Genomic DNA, 16,667 nt, shown 5'->3' on the forward strand with positions numbered 1-16,667 from the left:
TCCCCCTCCTTTCTTTCCTATGTTCTTGGAATTTTCTGTTGAAATAACCTGATAAATCTCCCTGATAAATTTTCCCAGAGTCTGGATTTTGAGTATTGCATCTCCATAGTTTTGGGGTTTTTTTGTTTTGTTTTGTTTTGTTTTGTTTTGTTTTCTTGAGATGGAGTTTCATTCTTGTTGCCCAGGCTGGAGTGCAATGGTGCAACTTCCACCTCCCAGGTTCAAGCGATTCTCCTGCCTTAGCCACCCAAGTAGCTGGGATTACAGGCGCCCCCCACCTCGCCTGCCTAATTTTTGTGTTTTTAGTAGAGACAGCGTTTCACCACATTGGCCAGGCTGGTCTCGGAACTTCTGACCTCAGGTGATGAGCCCACGTCGGCCTCCCAAAGTGCTGGGATTACAGGCATGAGCCACCGTGCCCAACCCATAGTTTCTTTTAAAGCACATTTTTTCAAGTGTTTTCTTACCTTATTTCAAATTTTTACAGTTTACCTGTAGTGATTTGAATGTTGGGAAGAAGAACTTGCTTGTGGGGATTTTGCTGGGGTTTAATAGGAGATCGTAATTTTAATGGTTCTGATCAATTTTCTTAATTTTTGTCAAGACTGACATGAACATCGGACTTCTTTTGAAACATTTGTGGCACTCAGTATTGACATAAACTTGCTGTACAATTATTAAAATCATTTACATAACAATTTTGCCCATAATTTTAAAACCTTATTTTTCATTGCTGTTTCTCAAAATGTTGACAGACTTAGTGACTCTGTGTCTCAATCTAAGTGAAATAAGTATTTCATATACGTTCTTTAATTTTCCTCTGCTTCACAATTGAACAGTCTTTCAGTGAGCTTCTGAAGGAGGCTAAAGATTCATTTTACCTAATTTCCTCCTTTATCTTAATTGTATTATTACTTGTGTTTGCAGTTATTTTATATTCATAAAGTACATATATAAATAATTATACAAACACCACTATATAAACATGGTTCCATTGTATAAAATAAGAAATTTTGTTTGGCAAAAATGTTCAACAGCTGAGAAAACCAGGAGCTCAGTGTAGGAAGACAGGCAAGTCAGTGCGTGTGTGAAAGCGCAAGCTATATGATAGCTATGGATGGCATGGGAAGCAAATCAAATAGCATATCTGTGCTCCGCATGGCAGTTAGTATGGGAAGTCATGGCATATGGATGAAATGTTTGGCACCTCTTCAGATTGCTGAGTTTAGAGGAAACATCAATGAATTATCCAGACGATAGTTGCCATCTGGGTACTACACAAAATTATATAGTGAATATATTTGTATTTCATGTTTGTATCTCTTTCTACACTTCTCTCTTATCCCACCATAAGCACCCCCACTTAATTTCTTGATATCTTAATACAGTTCTAAAACTCATTATAAATTTAACATTAAGCACTTACTATGTGCTAGACATTACGAAAGTCCTCTGTGTAGATCACAGGCTTATGTTGGAAGTAACTTCTGAATAATGTGGAAAACAAAAGGAGAAATTTACAGCCACCATAATGATGTTACCTTCCTTACAGAAGACTTCCAAATTCCATAAATGGGTCTTCTTTTCCCTCAGTAACCACACTCTCACCCCTCTCATCCTTCACCGAACATAATATAACATATAAAAGTTTCTCATTCCCTGGGTGCTATAAATGGTGCTCTTAATAAAGTGATGCTTTGATAAGTTTACAGAAAGCTAAATAATGTGTGTGTTTAAGCACTTACTCATCTAGAATACACAGAATGCATTGGGGATATTGTGGTAAAAATACACACCTTTGAAATGATTCTAAACCAGTGATGTTCCCAAGGAGTGATTGGGAGGTTAACTTTACCTCCTTCCAAACCACTTCAAATAAACATAAGTAAATTCCAATGCAAATACACTCTCAAGACAAGTCTACTTCCCGTCTTCCTTCCCACAACAGATTACTACCCTAATCCCTTCCTATATATACATTTTTTTAAAAGGCTAGTTAAATGAAGCAGTGAGAGTAGGAAAAGAATAAATCTGTAACTGGGTGTGATCAATTAGTTGTAAACACCATTGCACTTGGACTAACATAGGTATAAATTCCTGAACTGCTCCTCTCCCTGACCATTAATCTGAAATATCTCCTAAAAAGTTGGAAAATAATAAAGAGAAGCTGATTAGAACCCATATAAATATGCATGGAATTTTGGGGAAGAGGAAGTACTCCACTATTATGGCTAATGTGTGTAGCAAGAAGCAATGAAAGAGGGGAGTCATGGTATAACACACTGTGAAATCAGACAGAAATACTCTGGGCTGCATCTCTTAGTAGATGGCCTTGGAAAAACTGCTTAGTAGCTCAGTTTGTCTCTTAAATGGGGATAATAACACCTGTTGTAAAGACCAAATATTATTTGCTCAGCTAATAATAGGGCTTAATAAATAGTGGTAGTGGCTGTTCTGAGTCCATTGGTCTTTACAACTAATTGATTACAACTAGTTACAGGTGTCTTTGTTGCTGTTCCATTCCCACTACTTCACTTGACTAGCCTTAAAAGAAAATGGTGGTAATAGTGGAGATGATGGTCCAGATTTTGAGAGTTCTTTATCATTGTTGGAGTTTTTATGTTATCCTACAGTGGGGAGCCCTCAGGTGAGAAGAGATATGATAGATAGTGCTGGTCACGTTGTTTAAGGTGATCTAGCCAAGGAATGATGAGACCCTGAGCTGAGACAGTAGTAGTGGGAATAGAGAGAAAACGGATTTAAGAGAGAGTCCAGGCTGGGCACAGTGGCTCACACCTGTATTCCCAGCACTTTGGGAGGCTGAGGTGGGAGGATTACTTGAGGCCAGGAATTCGAGACCACCCTGGGCAACATAGTGAGTCCTCATCTCCACAAAAAAAGAAGAAACTAGTCGGGTATGGTGGCGCACACCCGTAGTTCTAGCTACTGGGGAGGTTGAGGCAGAAAGATCGTTTGAGCCCAGGTAGGAGGCTGCAGTGAGCTATGATTGTACCACTGCATTCCAGCCTGGGCAACAGAACAAGACCCTGTCTCTCAAAAAAACAAGAGACTCCAGAAATCAAAACTCTGAATGGCTGAATTTCGAAGTTGAGGAATTGAGAGAGTTTGAAATGGCTCTGAGATTTTAAAATTTGAATAGCTGGATTGGTTGGTATGCCACGGAGGTGAGGAATACTGACTTTAAGCAGTAAGAGGAAGCAGTTGTGGAAGGAAAAGTAATGAGTTGAATGTTTTTAGTCTTGTTTTTGAGGTAGTTGTAAGGAGTCCAGGAATATCCAGGTTAGTTGACTAGAAGTTTTTTGTTTTTTGTTTCTTTTTTAGTTATGGTATATTTAGTTTTGTATCATTATCACCTACTCCTGAAATATATGTGACAGTAATATATTTTCTAAAAATATATATTTAGTACAATTCAGATGTTTTAAAATCATCTCATTAGGCATGTGAAATGTAATTACTTTGTCAAATGTCAACATGAGAATAGATGTCATGTGTCAACACCTCTCTGCCTATTATTTTTTAAGAGATTTTGAGGGAGGGATTTCCACTATATACTGTTATCTCCCCGCATCAGCCACATCTGCTTCATTTGGTTGCTGTTCCATTTGGATACCATACAAGAAAAGATGGACATTGATGGTTCAGGGGAACAGTTAAGCCTAAGGATAATAGAGAATTCAAATACATTTTCACCATGCTTTAAATGTTACAGTCTTAGTTGCAAATATCTGAAGTCGCCTTGAGATGTGCAAGAACTTTCAAATGTATTTAAATGCATTTAAATAATAAGATGGAGCTTAATTTTTTTTCACGGAGAAGAAAAATGCTGGCTGGGCATGGTGGCTCACACCTGTAATCCCAGCACTTTGGGAAGCCAAGGTGGGTGGATCACCTGAGGTCGGGAGTTCGAGACCAGTCTGACCAACATGGTGAAACCCTGTCTCTACTGAAGATACAAAAATTAGACATGCGTGGTGGCAGGCGCCTGTAGTCCCAGCTACTTGGGAGGCTGAGACAGGAGAACTGCTTGAACCCAGGAGATGGAGGTTGCAGTGAGCCACGATCACGCCACTGCACTCCACCTGGGCGACGGAGCGAGACTCCATCTCAAAAAAAAGAAAAAAGAAAAATGCCTTAATAAAAATTTTAATAAAATGTTTTAACAGTTGCTTAACCTATTTCTCACTTTCCTTCCTGGTTTCCCAAATAAGAATAAACTGTTGAGAATAAATTGAGATGATCAACATTAAAAATTTTTAAAGAGCGTTTTGTTAGAAATAATTGTATAAAATGTTTTATTAAATACAAGTTTAAATTTAGTTATAGATAGCAGAGACTTTAAAAATTGGAAAAATAGAAAACAACTAGTATAACGATAAACATGGCCATTTTTTACTTAAGGGAACTTGAGGATTTGCAGATTTTAGGTGATTTTCTCACCATAGCAGTCATCTACTAAGAAAGGCAGAACAAACATTTTTTGAAGAGTTACTGCCTCACTAGAGCTCAGGATCAGGTTGATCTATGTTCTTGAGTGATTAAATTTAAAAATTGGGGACTGCTCAGGTAAAGAAAGGGAAGTGGTCTGCAAGTGAAATGGCATCATGGAGGTGTAGTGGTCTTTGCTGAGGCCCACAGGCTGGCCAGCCTCTGGTTGAGCAACACAGGGTCACTGCAGATGGCACTGAGAAACCAGCGTGCAGAGAGATGAGTCTGATGAGCATGTGTGGCCCAGGTTCCAGAGCCAGGGTGAGGGTCATTCACCTGTAGAAATTTCTCCACTTTCATCATGGACATTAGTGTCAGGATAACTTATTTATGTTAGAATTTACATTCTTTCCTTTTAAAAAAGTAGGCATCTTTTAAAAGAACCATTAGAAAAAAAGGCATATCTGAATTGGAATGCATTGCTTCAAATTGATGAATCAGGATCACAAATGACAAACCATGGATCTCTCAGTTTATGTTTAACTCCCTTAAGATAATTTACAGGGCTGGGTGCTGGGTACAGTGGCTCGTGCCTGTATTCCCAGCACTTTGGGAGGCCAAGGTGAGTGGATCACTTGAGCTCAGGTGTTCAAGACCAGCCTGGGCAATTTGTGAAACTCCGTTTCTACCAAAAATACAAAAAATATTCTGAAACACATAATTTGTGATGTTTATATAATTAAATCCTTTAAGTTAGTGTTTTTTAGTCAGTTTTGGATTAAAGGATCTTATTCGAGTTAAATATTCTCTCTCCTAAAAAAAGTGCATATGTGCAGAATTTACATAACATTTTAGTAGCTAATGTTTCCCCTTAATCGAGACCCCTGGGTAATTATATATATAAATGCATGTATATAAATGTATATATAAATATGTGTATTTTTGGTTAATTTTTTAAATGTTTAACAATTATGGATACATAATAGTTGTACATAATTTGTGGGGTACATGTGATATTTTGCTACAAGTATACAATGTGTAAAAAACCAAGGTAATTGGTTTACCTCAAGCATTTATCATTTATTTGTGGTAAGGGCATTCTAATTACTCTCTTAGTTATGGTGAAATAGGGAATAAATAACTATAGTTGCTCTATTGTGCTACTGAACACTAGATCTAATTTATTCTATCTAACTGTATTTTTGTACCCATTAACTCTCATCTCCCCATTTCCACAACCCTTCCCAGTCTTTGATAGCTGTCATTCTACTATTTCCATGAGTTTAATTTTTTGCTCCCACATACAAGTGAGAAAGTGCTATATTTGTCTTAGTGTGTCTGGCTTATTTCACTTAAAGTACTGTCCTCCAGTTCCATCCATGTTGTGACAAATGATAGAATTTCATTCTTTTCTATGGCTGAATAATATTCCACTGTGTATATGAACCACATTTTCTTTATCCATTCATCTGTTGATGGACACAAGATTGATTCCATATCTTGGCTATTGTGAATAGTGTTGCAGTAAACATGGGAGTGCAGGTTATCTCTTCAGTATACTAATTTCCTCTCACCCCATTTGAAATGGCTTTTATCCAAAAGATAGGCAATAATGAATGCTGGCATAAATGCGGAGAAAGGGGAACCCTTGTACACTGTTGGTGAGAAACAGCCACTTTGGAGAACAGTTTGGAGGTTCTCCAAAAAACTACAAATAGAGCTACCATATGATTCAGCAATCCAACTGCTGGGTATACACCCAAAAGAAAGGAAATCAGTATATCAAAGAGATACACGCTTCTATGTTGACTGCAGGACTATGTTTTTATACTATATATTGTGATTTTAACATATACTGTGCTTTTAGAAGTGTCAAAAGGAGCCTCACCATAAAGCATATTCTCTAGAAAAGCTGTTCTACAACACTATCAGAGTTCTTACACATTGCTATTACATTATTTCCATATAAATCTGAAGTGATTATGAATTGTTTGAAATATGTATTGTATAAGCTATATCTTTTTCTCAGAAAAAAAAATTATTTTTCTGGCAGTTGTGTTTTGTTTGACCCACACCACATTTTCTTTTTTTTATTCTAGATTCCGAAGAGGCTCAATCTGTAAATCCTTCTAGTGTTGATGAAAATATTGACTCTGAAACAGAGAAAGACTCTCTCATCTGTGAAAGTAAACAGATACTTCCCAGTAAAACACCTCTTCCATCTGCCCTTGATGAGTATGAGTTCAAAGATGATGATGATGAAGAAATTAATAAGATGATTGATGATAGGCATATTCTTAGGAAAGAACAACGAAAAGAAAATGAACCTGAAGCAGAAAAAACTCATTTATTTGCAAAACAGGAGAAAGCCTTCTATCCTAAATCATTTAAAAGTAAAAAACAAAAGCCATCTAGGGTCTTATATTCAAGTACTGAAAGTTCTGATGAAGAAGCTCTTCAGAATAAAAAGATTTCTACTTCATGTTCCGTCATCCCTGAAACATCAAATTCTGATATGCAAACCAAAAAGGAATATGTAGTTTCAGGTGAACACAAACAGAAAGGCAAAGTTAAAAGAAAATTGAAAAATCAGAATAAAAATAAAGAGAACCAAGAGCTAAAGCAAGAAAAGGAAGGAAAAGAAAATACAAGAATAACAAACTTGACAGTAAATACTGGACTAGATTGTTCAGAAAAGACCAGAGAGGAGGGGAACTTTAGGAAATCTTTTAGCCCAAAAGATGATACTTCATTACATTTATTTCATATTTCCACTGGTAAATCTCCCAAACATTCTTGTGGATTAAGTGAAAAACAGTCAACACCACTAAAACAAGAACATACTAAAACATGTTTATCACCAGGAAGTTCTGAAATGTCATTACAGCCTGATCTTGTTCGGTATGATAATACAGAATCTGAATTCTTGCCAGAAAGTTCAAGTGTAAAATCTTGTAAGCATAAGGAAAAAAGCAAACATCAGAAAGATTTCCACTTAGAATTTGGTGAAAAATCAAATGCCAAAATAAAGGATGAAGATCATAGTCCAACATTTGAAAATTCAGATTGCACACTGAAAAAAATGGATAAAGAAGGTAAAACATTAAAAAAACATAAATTGAAGCATAAAGAGAGGGAAAAAGAAAAGCATAAAAAAGAAATTGAAGGTGAAAAGGAAAAATACAAAACTAAGGATAGTGCCAAAGAACTGCAGAGGAGTGTGGAATTTGATAGAGAATTTTGGAAAGAGAATTTTTTTAAAAGTGATGAAACTGAAGATCTCTTTTTAAATATGGAACATGAATCCTTAACATTAGAAAAAAAATCAAAATTGGAAAAAAACATCAAAGATGATAAATCAACCAAGGAAAAGCATGTGTCAAAAGAGAGGAACTTTAAAGAGGAACGAGACAAGATTAAAAAGGAAAGCGAGAAATCTTTTAGGGAGGAAAAAATAAAAGATCTAAAAGAAGAGAGAGAAAACATACCCACAGATAAAGACTCAGAATTTACTTCTTTGGGTATGAGTGCCATTGAGGAATCTATAGGGCTTCATTTAGTGGAAAAGGAAATAGACATTGAAAAACAAGAAAAGCATATAAAGGAAAGTAAAGAAAAACCTGAGAAGCGATCTCAAATTAAAGAAAAGGACATTGAGAAGATGGAAAGAAAAACCTTTGAAAAAGAAAAGAAGATAAAACATGAGCATAAGTCAGAAAAAGACAAATTAGATCTTAGTGAATGTGTTGATAAAATAAAAGAAAAGGACAAGCTATATTCGCATCACACAGAAAAATGCCATAAAGAAGGTGAGAAGAGCAAAAATACTGCTGCTATTAAAAAAACTGACGACAGAGAGAAAAGTAGAGAAAAGATGGATAGGAAACATGACAAAGAAAAGCCTGAAAAAGAGAGGCATCTAGCAGAAAGCAAAGAAAAGCACTTGATGGAGAAAAAAAATAAACAATCAGATAATAGTGAATACAGTAAATCAGAAAAAGGCAAAAATAAAGAAAAAGACAGGGAGCTAGATAAAAAGGAAAAATCTAGAGATAAAGAAAGTATAAATATAACTAACTCCAAACACATACAGGAAGAAAAAAAATCAAGTATAGTAGACGGTAATAAAGCACAACATGAAAAACCCTTATCCCTTAAAGAAAAAACAAAAGATGAACCTTTGAAAACTCCAGATGGAAAAGAAAAAGATAAAAAAGATAAAGATATAGATAGATACAAAGAACGAGACAAACATAAAGATAAAATTCAAATAAATAGCTTACTCAAACTAAAATCTGAAGCAGATAAGCCTAAACCTAAGTCATCACCAGCATCAAAAGATACCCGACCTAAAGAAAAGAGGTTAGTGAATGATGATTTAATGCAGACAAGTTTTGAACGAATGCTAAGCCTTAAAGACCTAGAAATAGAACAGTGGCACAAAAAACATAAGGAAAAAATTAAGCAAAAAGAAAAGGAACGGTTGAGAAACCGAAACTGTTTAGAACTTAAAATAAAAGATAAAGAAAAAACAAAGCATACACCAACTGAATCCAAAAATAAAGAACTTACTAGGTCAAAGAGTTCAGAAGTGACTGATGCATATACCAAGGAGAAACAACCTAAAGATGCTGTAAGTAACAGATCACAATCTGTTGACACCAAAAATGTAATGACTTTAGGGAAGTCATCTTTTGTTTCAGATAATAGCTTAAACAGGTCTCCTAGATCAGAAAATGAAAAGCCGGGTCTCAGCTCCAGATCTGTATCCATGATTTCTGTTGCTAGTTCAGAAGATTCCTGCCATACTACAGTGACAACCCCAAGGCCTCCAGTTGAGTATGACTCTGACTTTATGTTAGAGAGTTCAGAATCCCAAATGTCCTTTTCCCAGTCACCTTTTTTGTCAATTGCCAAATCTCCTGCTCTTCATGAAAGGGAATTGGACAGCCTGGCTGACTTGCCGGAGCGGATTAAACCACCATATGCAAACAGACTTTCAACATCCCATCTTAGGTCATCTTCTGTAGAAGATGTTAAACTAATTATAAGCGAGGGGAGACCTACCATAGAAGTTCGAAGATGTAGCATGCCTTCTGTCATTTGTGAACATACCAAACAATTCCAAACAATATCAGAAGAGAGCAATCAAGGTAGCTTATTAACTGTGCCAGGAGATACTAGTCCTTCTCCCAAACCTGAGGTATTCTCAAATGTGCCTGAAAGAGACCTTTCAAATGTATCTAACATACATTCCAGTTTTGCAACTTCTCCAACTGGAGCTTCAAACAGCAAGTATGTTTCAGCTGATAGAAATCTCATCAAGAATACTGCCCCAGTGAACACTGTAATGGACAGTCCAGTGCATTTAGAGCCATCTAGTCAGGTTGGTGTGATCCAGAATAAATCATGGGAGATGCCTGTTGATAGACTAGAGACATTAAGCACCAGAGACTTTATCTGCCCAAATTCTAACATACCTGATCAAGAATCCTCTCTTCAGAGTTTTTGTAATTCTGAAAATAAGGTATTGAAAGAAAATGCTGATTTTTTATCCCTGCGCCAGACTGAACTGCCAGGAAACTCTTGTGCTCAGGATCCGGCATCCTTTATGCCTCCACAGCAGCCTTGCTCTTTCCCCAGCCAATCACTTTCAGATGCTGAATCGATTTCTAAACATATGTCTTTGTCATATGTTGCTAATCAAGAGCCAGGTATTTTACAACAAAAAAATGCAGTTCAGATTATTAGTTCTGCTTTAGATACTGATAATGAATCTACAAAAGATACAGAAAATACTTTTGTCCTAGGAGATGTTCAAAAAACAGATGCCTTTGTCCCAGTGTACTCTGACAGCACTATTCAAGAAGCATCACCAAACTTTGAGAAAGCTTATACTTTACCTGTGTTACCATCAGAAAAGGACTTTAATGGAAGTGATGCCTCTACCCAGCTAAATACACATTATGCATTTAGCAAACTAACTTACAAGTCTTCCAGTGGCCATGAAGTTGAGAATAGCACAACTGATACTCAGGTCATTTCACATGAAAAAGAAAACAAACTGGAGAGTTTGGTTTTAACTCATTTGAGTAGGTGTGATTCTGATTTATGTGAAATGAATGCAGGGATGCCAAAAGGAAACCTAAATGAACAAGATCCAAAACATTGTCCTGAAAGTGAAAAGTGTTTGCTTTCCATAGAAGATGAGGAATCTCAACAAAGCATTTTATCAAGTCTGGAAAACCATTCACAGCAGTCAACTCAACCAGAAATGCATAAATATGGTCAGTTAGTTAAAGTAGAATTAGAAGAAAATGCCGAAGATGATAAAACTGAAAACCAAATCCCTCAAAGAATGACTAGAAACAAAGCAAATACAATGGCAAATCAAAGCAAACAGATTCTTGCTAGCTGTACACTATTATCAGAAAAAGACAGTGAATCCTCATCTCCTAGAGGAAGAATAAGATTAACTGAAGATGACGATCCTCAAATTCACCATCCACGGAAAAGGAAAGTGTCACGTGTACCTCAGCCTGTGCAAGTGAGTCCCTCTTTACTACAAGCAAAAGAGAAAACTCAGCAATCTCTGGCAGCCATTGTAGATTCTCTAAAACTAGATGAGATTCAGCCATACAGTTCAGAGAGAGCAAATCCATATTTTGAATACTTGCACATAAGGAAAAAAATAGAAGAAAAACGCAAATTACTGTGTAGTGTGATTCCTCAAGCACCTCAGTACTATGACGAATATGTAACATTTAACGGATCATATCTCCTGGATGGAAACCCCTTAAGCAAGATTTGTATTCCCACAGTAAGTAACATCATCACTTGCTATACACCTGTAACACTGCCCAATAGAAGTATAATGCTAGCCACATACGTAATTTGAAGTTTTCTAGTAGATAGATAATTTCAGCAAAATAATCTGTCAGTGAGTCGAGATATAAAGCTAGTAACGTTCTTGTTTCTTTCATTCCCCAACTTTATTTTCCCTTAAAGAGTAAGAAATTTTAGCCGAAATAATATGTAGTGACATAGGCTTCAAATACAGGTATAACTATAAAGAACAAATTTAAATTAGAACTTTATACAAACTATTTCAGTAAAAATCATTTCAGGTGAACCATATTATGTTGCTGCCTTAAATCAATCTGTTGACTTTATATATGTATACATTTGTTGTATAAATTTATCCAGGAATTTATACACATTTATGTTAAACACGTGTTTAATGTAACAAACACATTTACGTGTTTAACAACATAAACACATTTATGTGTTTAACATAGACACATTTATGTGTTTAACATAGACACATTTATGTGTTTACAATACATATGCAGACTCTATATAAACACATAAATGTGTGTAATATTCATACTGTCACCTTTTCTTACTCTTGCAAAGGTGATGTAATTCAAGTTTGACTTCCTTGAAACAATTCTCGGGATATGTCTAGTTATATTAGAAGTTTAGTTGTGTCAAATATTGTTCTAAAAGAGACTAAAAGCATAGGTGAGAAATATTCCTGGATGTAGTGGGAAGTTTTTTTAATTTTTATTTTTTAATGAGAATTACTAAAGCAGCAAAACACAGCACAATATAGTAGAAAGCACTGTAGATTTCCAATTTGCATATATTACTGCAGAGTGGATTTTGCTACAGACCCACTGTGTGATCTTAATTAATTCATTTCCCATCTCTGATCCTTAGTTTTCACATCTGTAAAACAAGAATAAATGTCTCCCCTACCTCAAGGCAGGTTGAAATAGTATATGCTAAAGCCCATTAAAACTTTAGAACACTATATAGATTTAAGGTGGTTGCTGTTATTTTATACAGCTGCAAATCACTGTAAGGGTCATATTTATTCAAGCTAATAATAAGAACTCCAGACTTTGTACATAAAATGCTGTGTGTTTGAGTTTACTGGACTGAAACTCATTTGTTTAAAATTTAGTTTGAAAAATAATAAAGACCAGAATAACAAAAATCTTGTGGGCCCTACATTCTTTTTCTTACTTTCCAATATGGCTTTATCCATTTGTTTCCTCCCAGCCAACTAATTGCCATTTTATAAAAGTAATCTTCCCTCACATTTATGTAATCCAATTATAGAACCCATTAGAAATTATAAAGTGGAGGCCAGGCCTGATAACAATAACTGTAATCCCAATACTTTAGGAGGCCAAGGTGGAAAGACCACTTGAGGCCAGGAGTTCAAGACCAACAGGATGTCTACAAAAATAAAAAATAAATGTGGTAAAACATACCCAGAGTCAGTTTGTTTTTCCTTCCAGTACTTTAATCATAATTTAATCAAAATGCTGCCATTTTTCCAGAGGAAATCAAGGGGAGTAAAACTGCAGGTCAAATCTCCAAAATCAAATGAACAGGGAGGAAAACGAGATTTGTTACAACCTAGTCTCTACTGTGGCCACTGATTACACACTACAGAAATCTTGGAGGGGTTCCAAGAGTGGGTGATAAAAGGAAAGTGCATCCATGAGAAGCTGTCAGGGGAGCGAGTATTCTCAAGACTCCTGGGACCCAGATATTGAAAGAGAAAATCTCCAAGCATGATTTACTTAAAAGATAGATGGGGAAAACAGCAGAGGGAAAGTTTCCTCAGAAAACCTCCATATCTCTTTGGTGATTTTCCCTTTCTTCTGTATGTGATCTATGTTAATGATTACCACATTTAAATATCCTGCCCAGATCTCTCTCCTTGGCTTCTTTTTTGTAACTGCATAGCTCCACCTGAATGTCCATAAGCTCCAGAAACTCAGTAAGTCAGCACTGAGCTGAACTTACCCAATGACCTGCTTCTCTTTCTCCTTTCCTGTTCCCTCCTGTGGTCCCTTACCACCCTCCCGTTCTCACACTAAGCCTCAAGTCCTTCTGAGGTGTTCCTTCTTGTTTATGTTTATTGGGCCAGTCACTAGTATTTTTCGAACCCATTTCCTTCACTCCCTCCTCCATCTCACACCAACACAATAGTAAGCTGCTTCCTCAATTCCCTGCCTACAATCTTGTCCCCATGGTGTCTGTTCACACAGAGCAGCAAGCTGTCAGACCTTTCATGGTTCTCTGTTACTTAACCCTAACATGTTCTACATAATACCTCTTCCACAGCATGTTATTTAAATGCCTCCTGTGCAAATGGGGGAGGCTTTCATGGTCAAATAAGTTTGGGAAGCACTGTTAATCTAAAAATAGGTTCACTGCAGAACTTACCAGAACCTTTGATGTATTGGGAGTTTTCTAAGTGGGTACATTTATACAAGTATACAGTGTTTTCCAAACTTGTTCTTGGAAGCATTTTTGTAGATCTTTACAGAATTGTAAGATTGTAAAGAATTGTAAGAGAAATTGTGGGCCCAATCTTCTGTGGAACATACTTTAAGAAAAGCACATTTACAGAGTAGACTGCAGCCTGTATTATTTTGCCCCTGCTGATCTCTTCTGCGGTCTTAAGTTCTTAGAACATCAAATTTGACAAAATGGTGTGAAATGATGACGACGAGAGTAATGGCAAAACCGCAATTACTTTTGCACCAACCTAGAGTTGTCTGCAGATACCATTCTGTTTGTTTTTGCATGCCATCCTCTTTTGGGAATTACCTCCCTCCCTCCTTTTCCTTTCTTCCCACATGATTCGTTTCACTAACTCTAACTCTGGCTCTTCCTTTAAGATGCAGGTCAGGTATTTGCCCTCTTGAGGAAGCTTTCTCTGGCACCTCAGTGTCAGACAGTAGATATCCGTCCTCTACATTCCTTGAAATAACTAGAGGCCTATATGGTTTTCCAAAACTAAAACAGCACCAAACTACCTACAACTCATGCTAAGTTTAAAGCAGTTCACAGGACGCAGAAATTAAACAAATGAATTACTGCAATTAGAGGCCTGAGAAATGGTCAGTTCCAGTAAGTTGTTTGTCCTGTAGAATTTTCCACATTGTGATTCAACTGATTGAGTCTTTGTGGTGTTATTTAACATGTTTTCAGTCTCTCATAATGCTGATTATAGAGTCTGTAGAGCCAGGTGTGATTTTTGTCAAGAACTTTTCATATATGGTGTTACATGATTCCTGTGGCACTACATCAAGAAGTGGAAAATACCTGGTTGTCCTACTTTCATGTGGAATTGACTGTTAAACCAGAAGTGTTATAACTTGCCAAAACATGCTAAGATATCTTACTTTGCCATAATATGCTGGCAGTAATTATAAGCAAGAATAAGGGGGAAAATACAAATTCTCCAAGGGGTAGAAAAAGAGTAGGGATCACAGATGGTTATTGCCATCTCTTGGACATCTTTTGTTTTGTTTTGTTTTTAGTTTTGTTTTTAACTTAAGAGACAGGGCCTCCCTGTGTTGCCCAGGCTGGAGTGCAGTGGTGCAATCATAGTTTACTGCAGCCTCAAACTTCTGGACTCAAGCTATCCTCCCATCTCAGCCTCCTGAGTTGCTGAGGCTACAGGCAGACACCACCACATCCAGCTAATTTTTAAATTTTTTTTTTGAGATGGGGGTCTCAATATGTTGCCCAGGCTGGTCTCAAACTCCTGGTCTCAAGCAATCCTCCTAGTCTCAAGCAATCCTACTTCAGCCTCCCAAAGTGATGGGATTACAGGCGAGAGCCACCATGCCCAGCCAAGATGTCCCTTTTTTTTTTTTTTTTTTTTTTTTTTTTTGAGACAGAGTCTCGCTCTGTCACCCAGGCTGGAATGCAGTGGCATGATCTCAACTCACTGCAACTTCCACCTCCTGAGTTCAAGCAATTTTCCTGCCTCAGCCTCCTGAGAAGTTAGGATTACAGGCATGTGCCACCACACCTGGCTAATTTTTGTATTTTTAGTAGAGACAGGACTTCACCATTTAATCAGGCTGGTCTCGAACTACTAACCTCGTGATCCACCCATCTTGGCCTCCCAAAGTGCTGGGATTACAGGTGTGGACCACCATGCCCGGCCAGTGTATCTTATTGTAACAGTGCAGTTACACGCATAGATTGAATCAGCTTCCTTAACCTCCAGCATCTACCGGAAAACACCTCTCTTCTGGGTTTGTAGTGTAATTTGATATTACACTACAATATCAAATTAGAGATGAACCAGAAGCTTTTTGGAGTATGGATAGACAAAGTCATTGGGATATTACATGTAATAAAGTTTGAAAACAATTTCTCAGACCATTTCATCTGCTTTTATAAAAGAATTAAATGTAACACTCAGGACTTTAGTGTTTGATATTTATCATGTCTGCAGACAGACCTCACTATATAGATACCAATTGAACTGCTTTAATCTTTACTAGTGTTTCCTGCATGTTTATACCAGCTTTTCTGGTTTTGTGACTCCTCCTTCCCTCCTTGTCTGTGAGCTGTCACTTACTGATGATCTAAAATGTGTCTCGCTGGAATAACTTCCATAGTCCTTCTAATTTGCTCTTTGAAATTTGTTGTGGCCTTAGAATCAAAACATCTAAACTGTGCTCAATGTTTCCAAACAGAAGTAACAATCAGTTCTATAACTAGTGCTGTATTATTTAATTCACAGGACATCAGAATTTGTTTTTTTATGCACTAAAAGGGTTTAATTTTAAAAGAATAGCCCATTATTGTAAATAAAACCTAATATTTTAAACTATATATATCTTTTTAATTAGATTACACCACCACCTTCACTGTCAGATCCACTTAAAGAGCTTTTTCGACAACAGGAAGTTGTAAGGATGAAACTACGTTTGCAACACAGTATTGAAAGGGTAAGAAATGTTTAAATTTACACTTATGCTAAAAATAACTGGTTTCTAGCAATAAATTAAAATGGCCTATAATTTTTTATTAGTGGATTTTTAAAATTTAGAACCATTTTGAGAAGTGATTTGGTTTTATCTTGTGTTTATTAGATGGAAAAATTTTAAGCCTATTTTAGGATAGCTGCTCCCATATTATAATTTATGTTGAGTATATTTTTAATATGTAAGTCTCTAATAACTTCTTGTTATTTGTTGAATTTGTAGAACTATAGCAGTAGATTCCTAGTGGAACATTTGGCTTTCCAAGTTTTGGAATCATTGCTTGGTACCAGCTGTTTTAAGGCAAAAGGGCAAAATACTTATAAAGGCTATGCTTATTTGTCCACGTAGGTCGGCCTTAGTATGTGCCTTCCAATGGTTAGTCTTGGCGTGAAATTACAGGAAGAA

At 36.5% G+C, this 16,667-nt stretch overlaps 1 protein-coding gene across 22 annotated transcripts in view; it reads left to right on the plus strand.

Annotated features, from left to right (window-relative positions):
• The window catches only part of ANKRD12 (ankyrin repeat domain 12), a 149,205-nt gene that overhangs the window by 110,882 nt on the left and 21,656 nt on the right, over positions 1 to 16,667 (plus strand). For all 22 annotated transcript variants that reach the window (XM_005258093.5, XM_017025661.3, XM_017025663.3 and 19 more), the window contains 2 exons: positions 6,549 to 11,269; positions 16,128 to 16,226. In XM_005258093.5, the coding sequence (XP_005258150.1) occupies positions 6,549 to 11,269; positions 16,128 to 16,226 (4,820 nt within the window). The remainder of the gene's footprint in view (positions 1 to 6,548; positions 11,270 to 16,127; positions 16,227 to 16,667) is intronic.

This window comes from Homo sapiens, chromosome 18 (genome assembly GCF_000001405.40).
Source record: "Homo sapiens chromosome 18, GRCh38.p14 Primary Assembly".
Taxonomy (NCBI): Eukaryota; Metazoa; Chordata; class Mammalia; order Primates; family Hominidae; genus Homo; species Homo sapiens.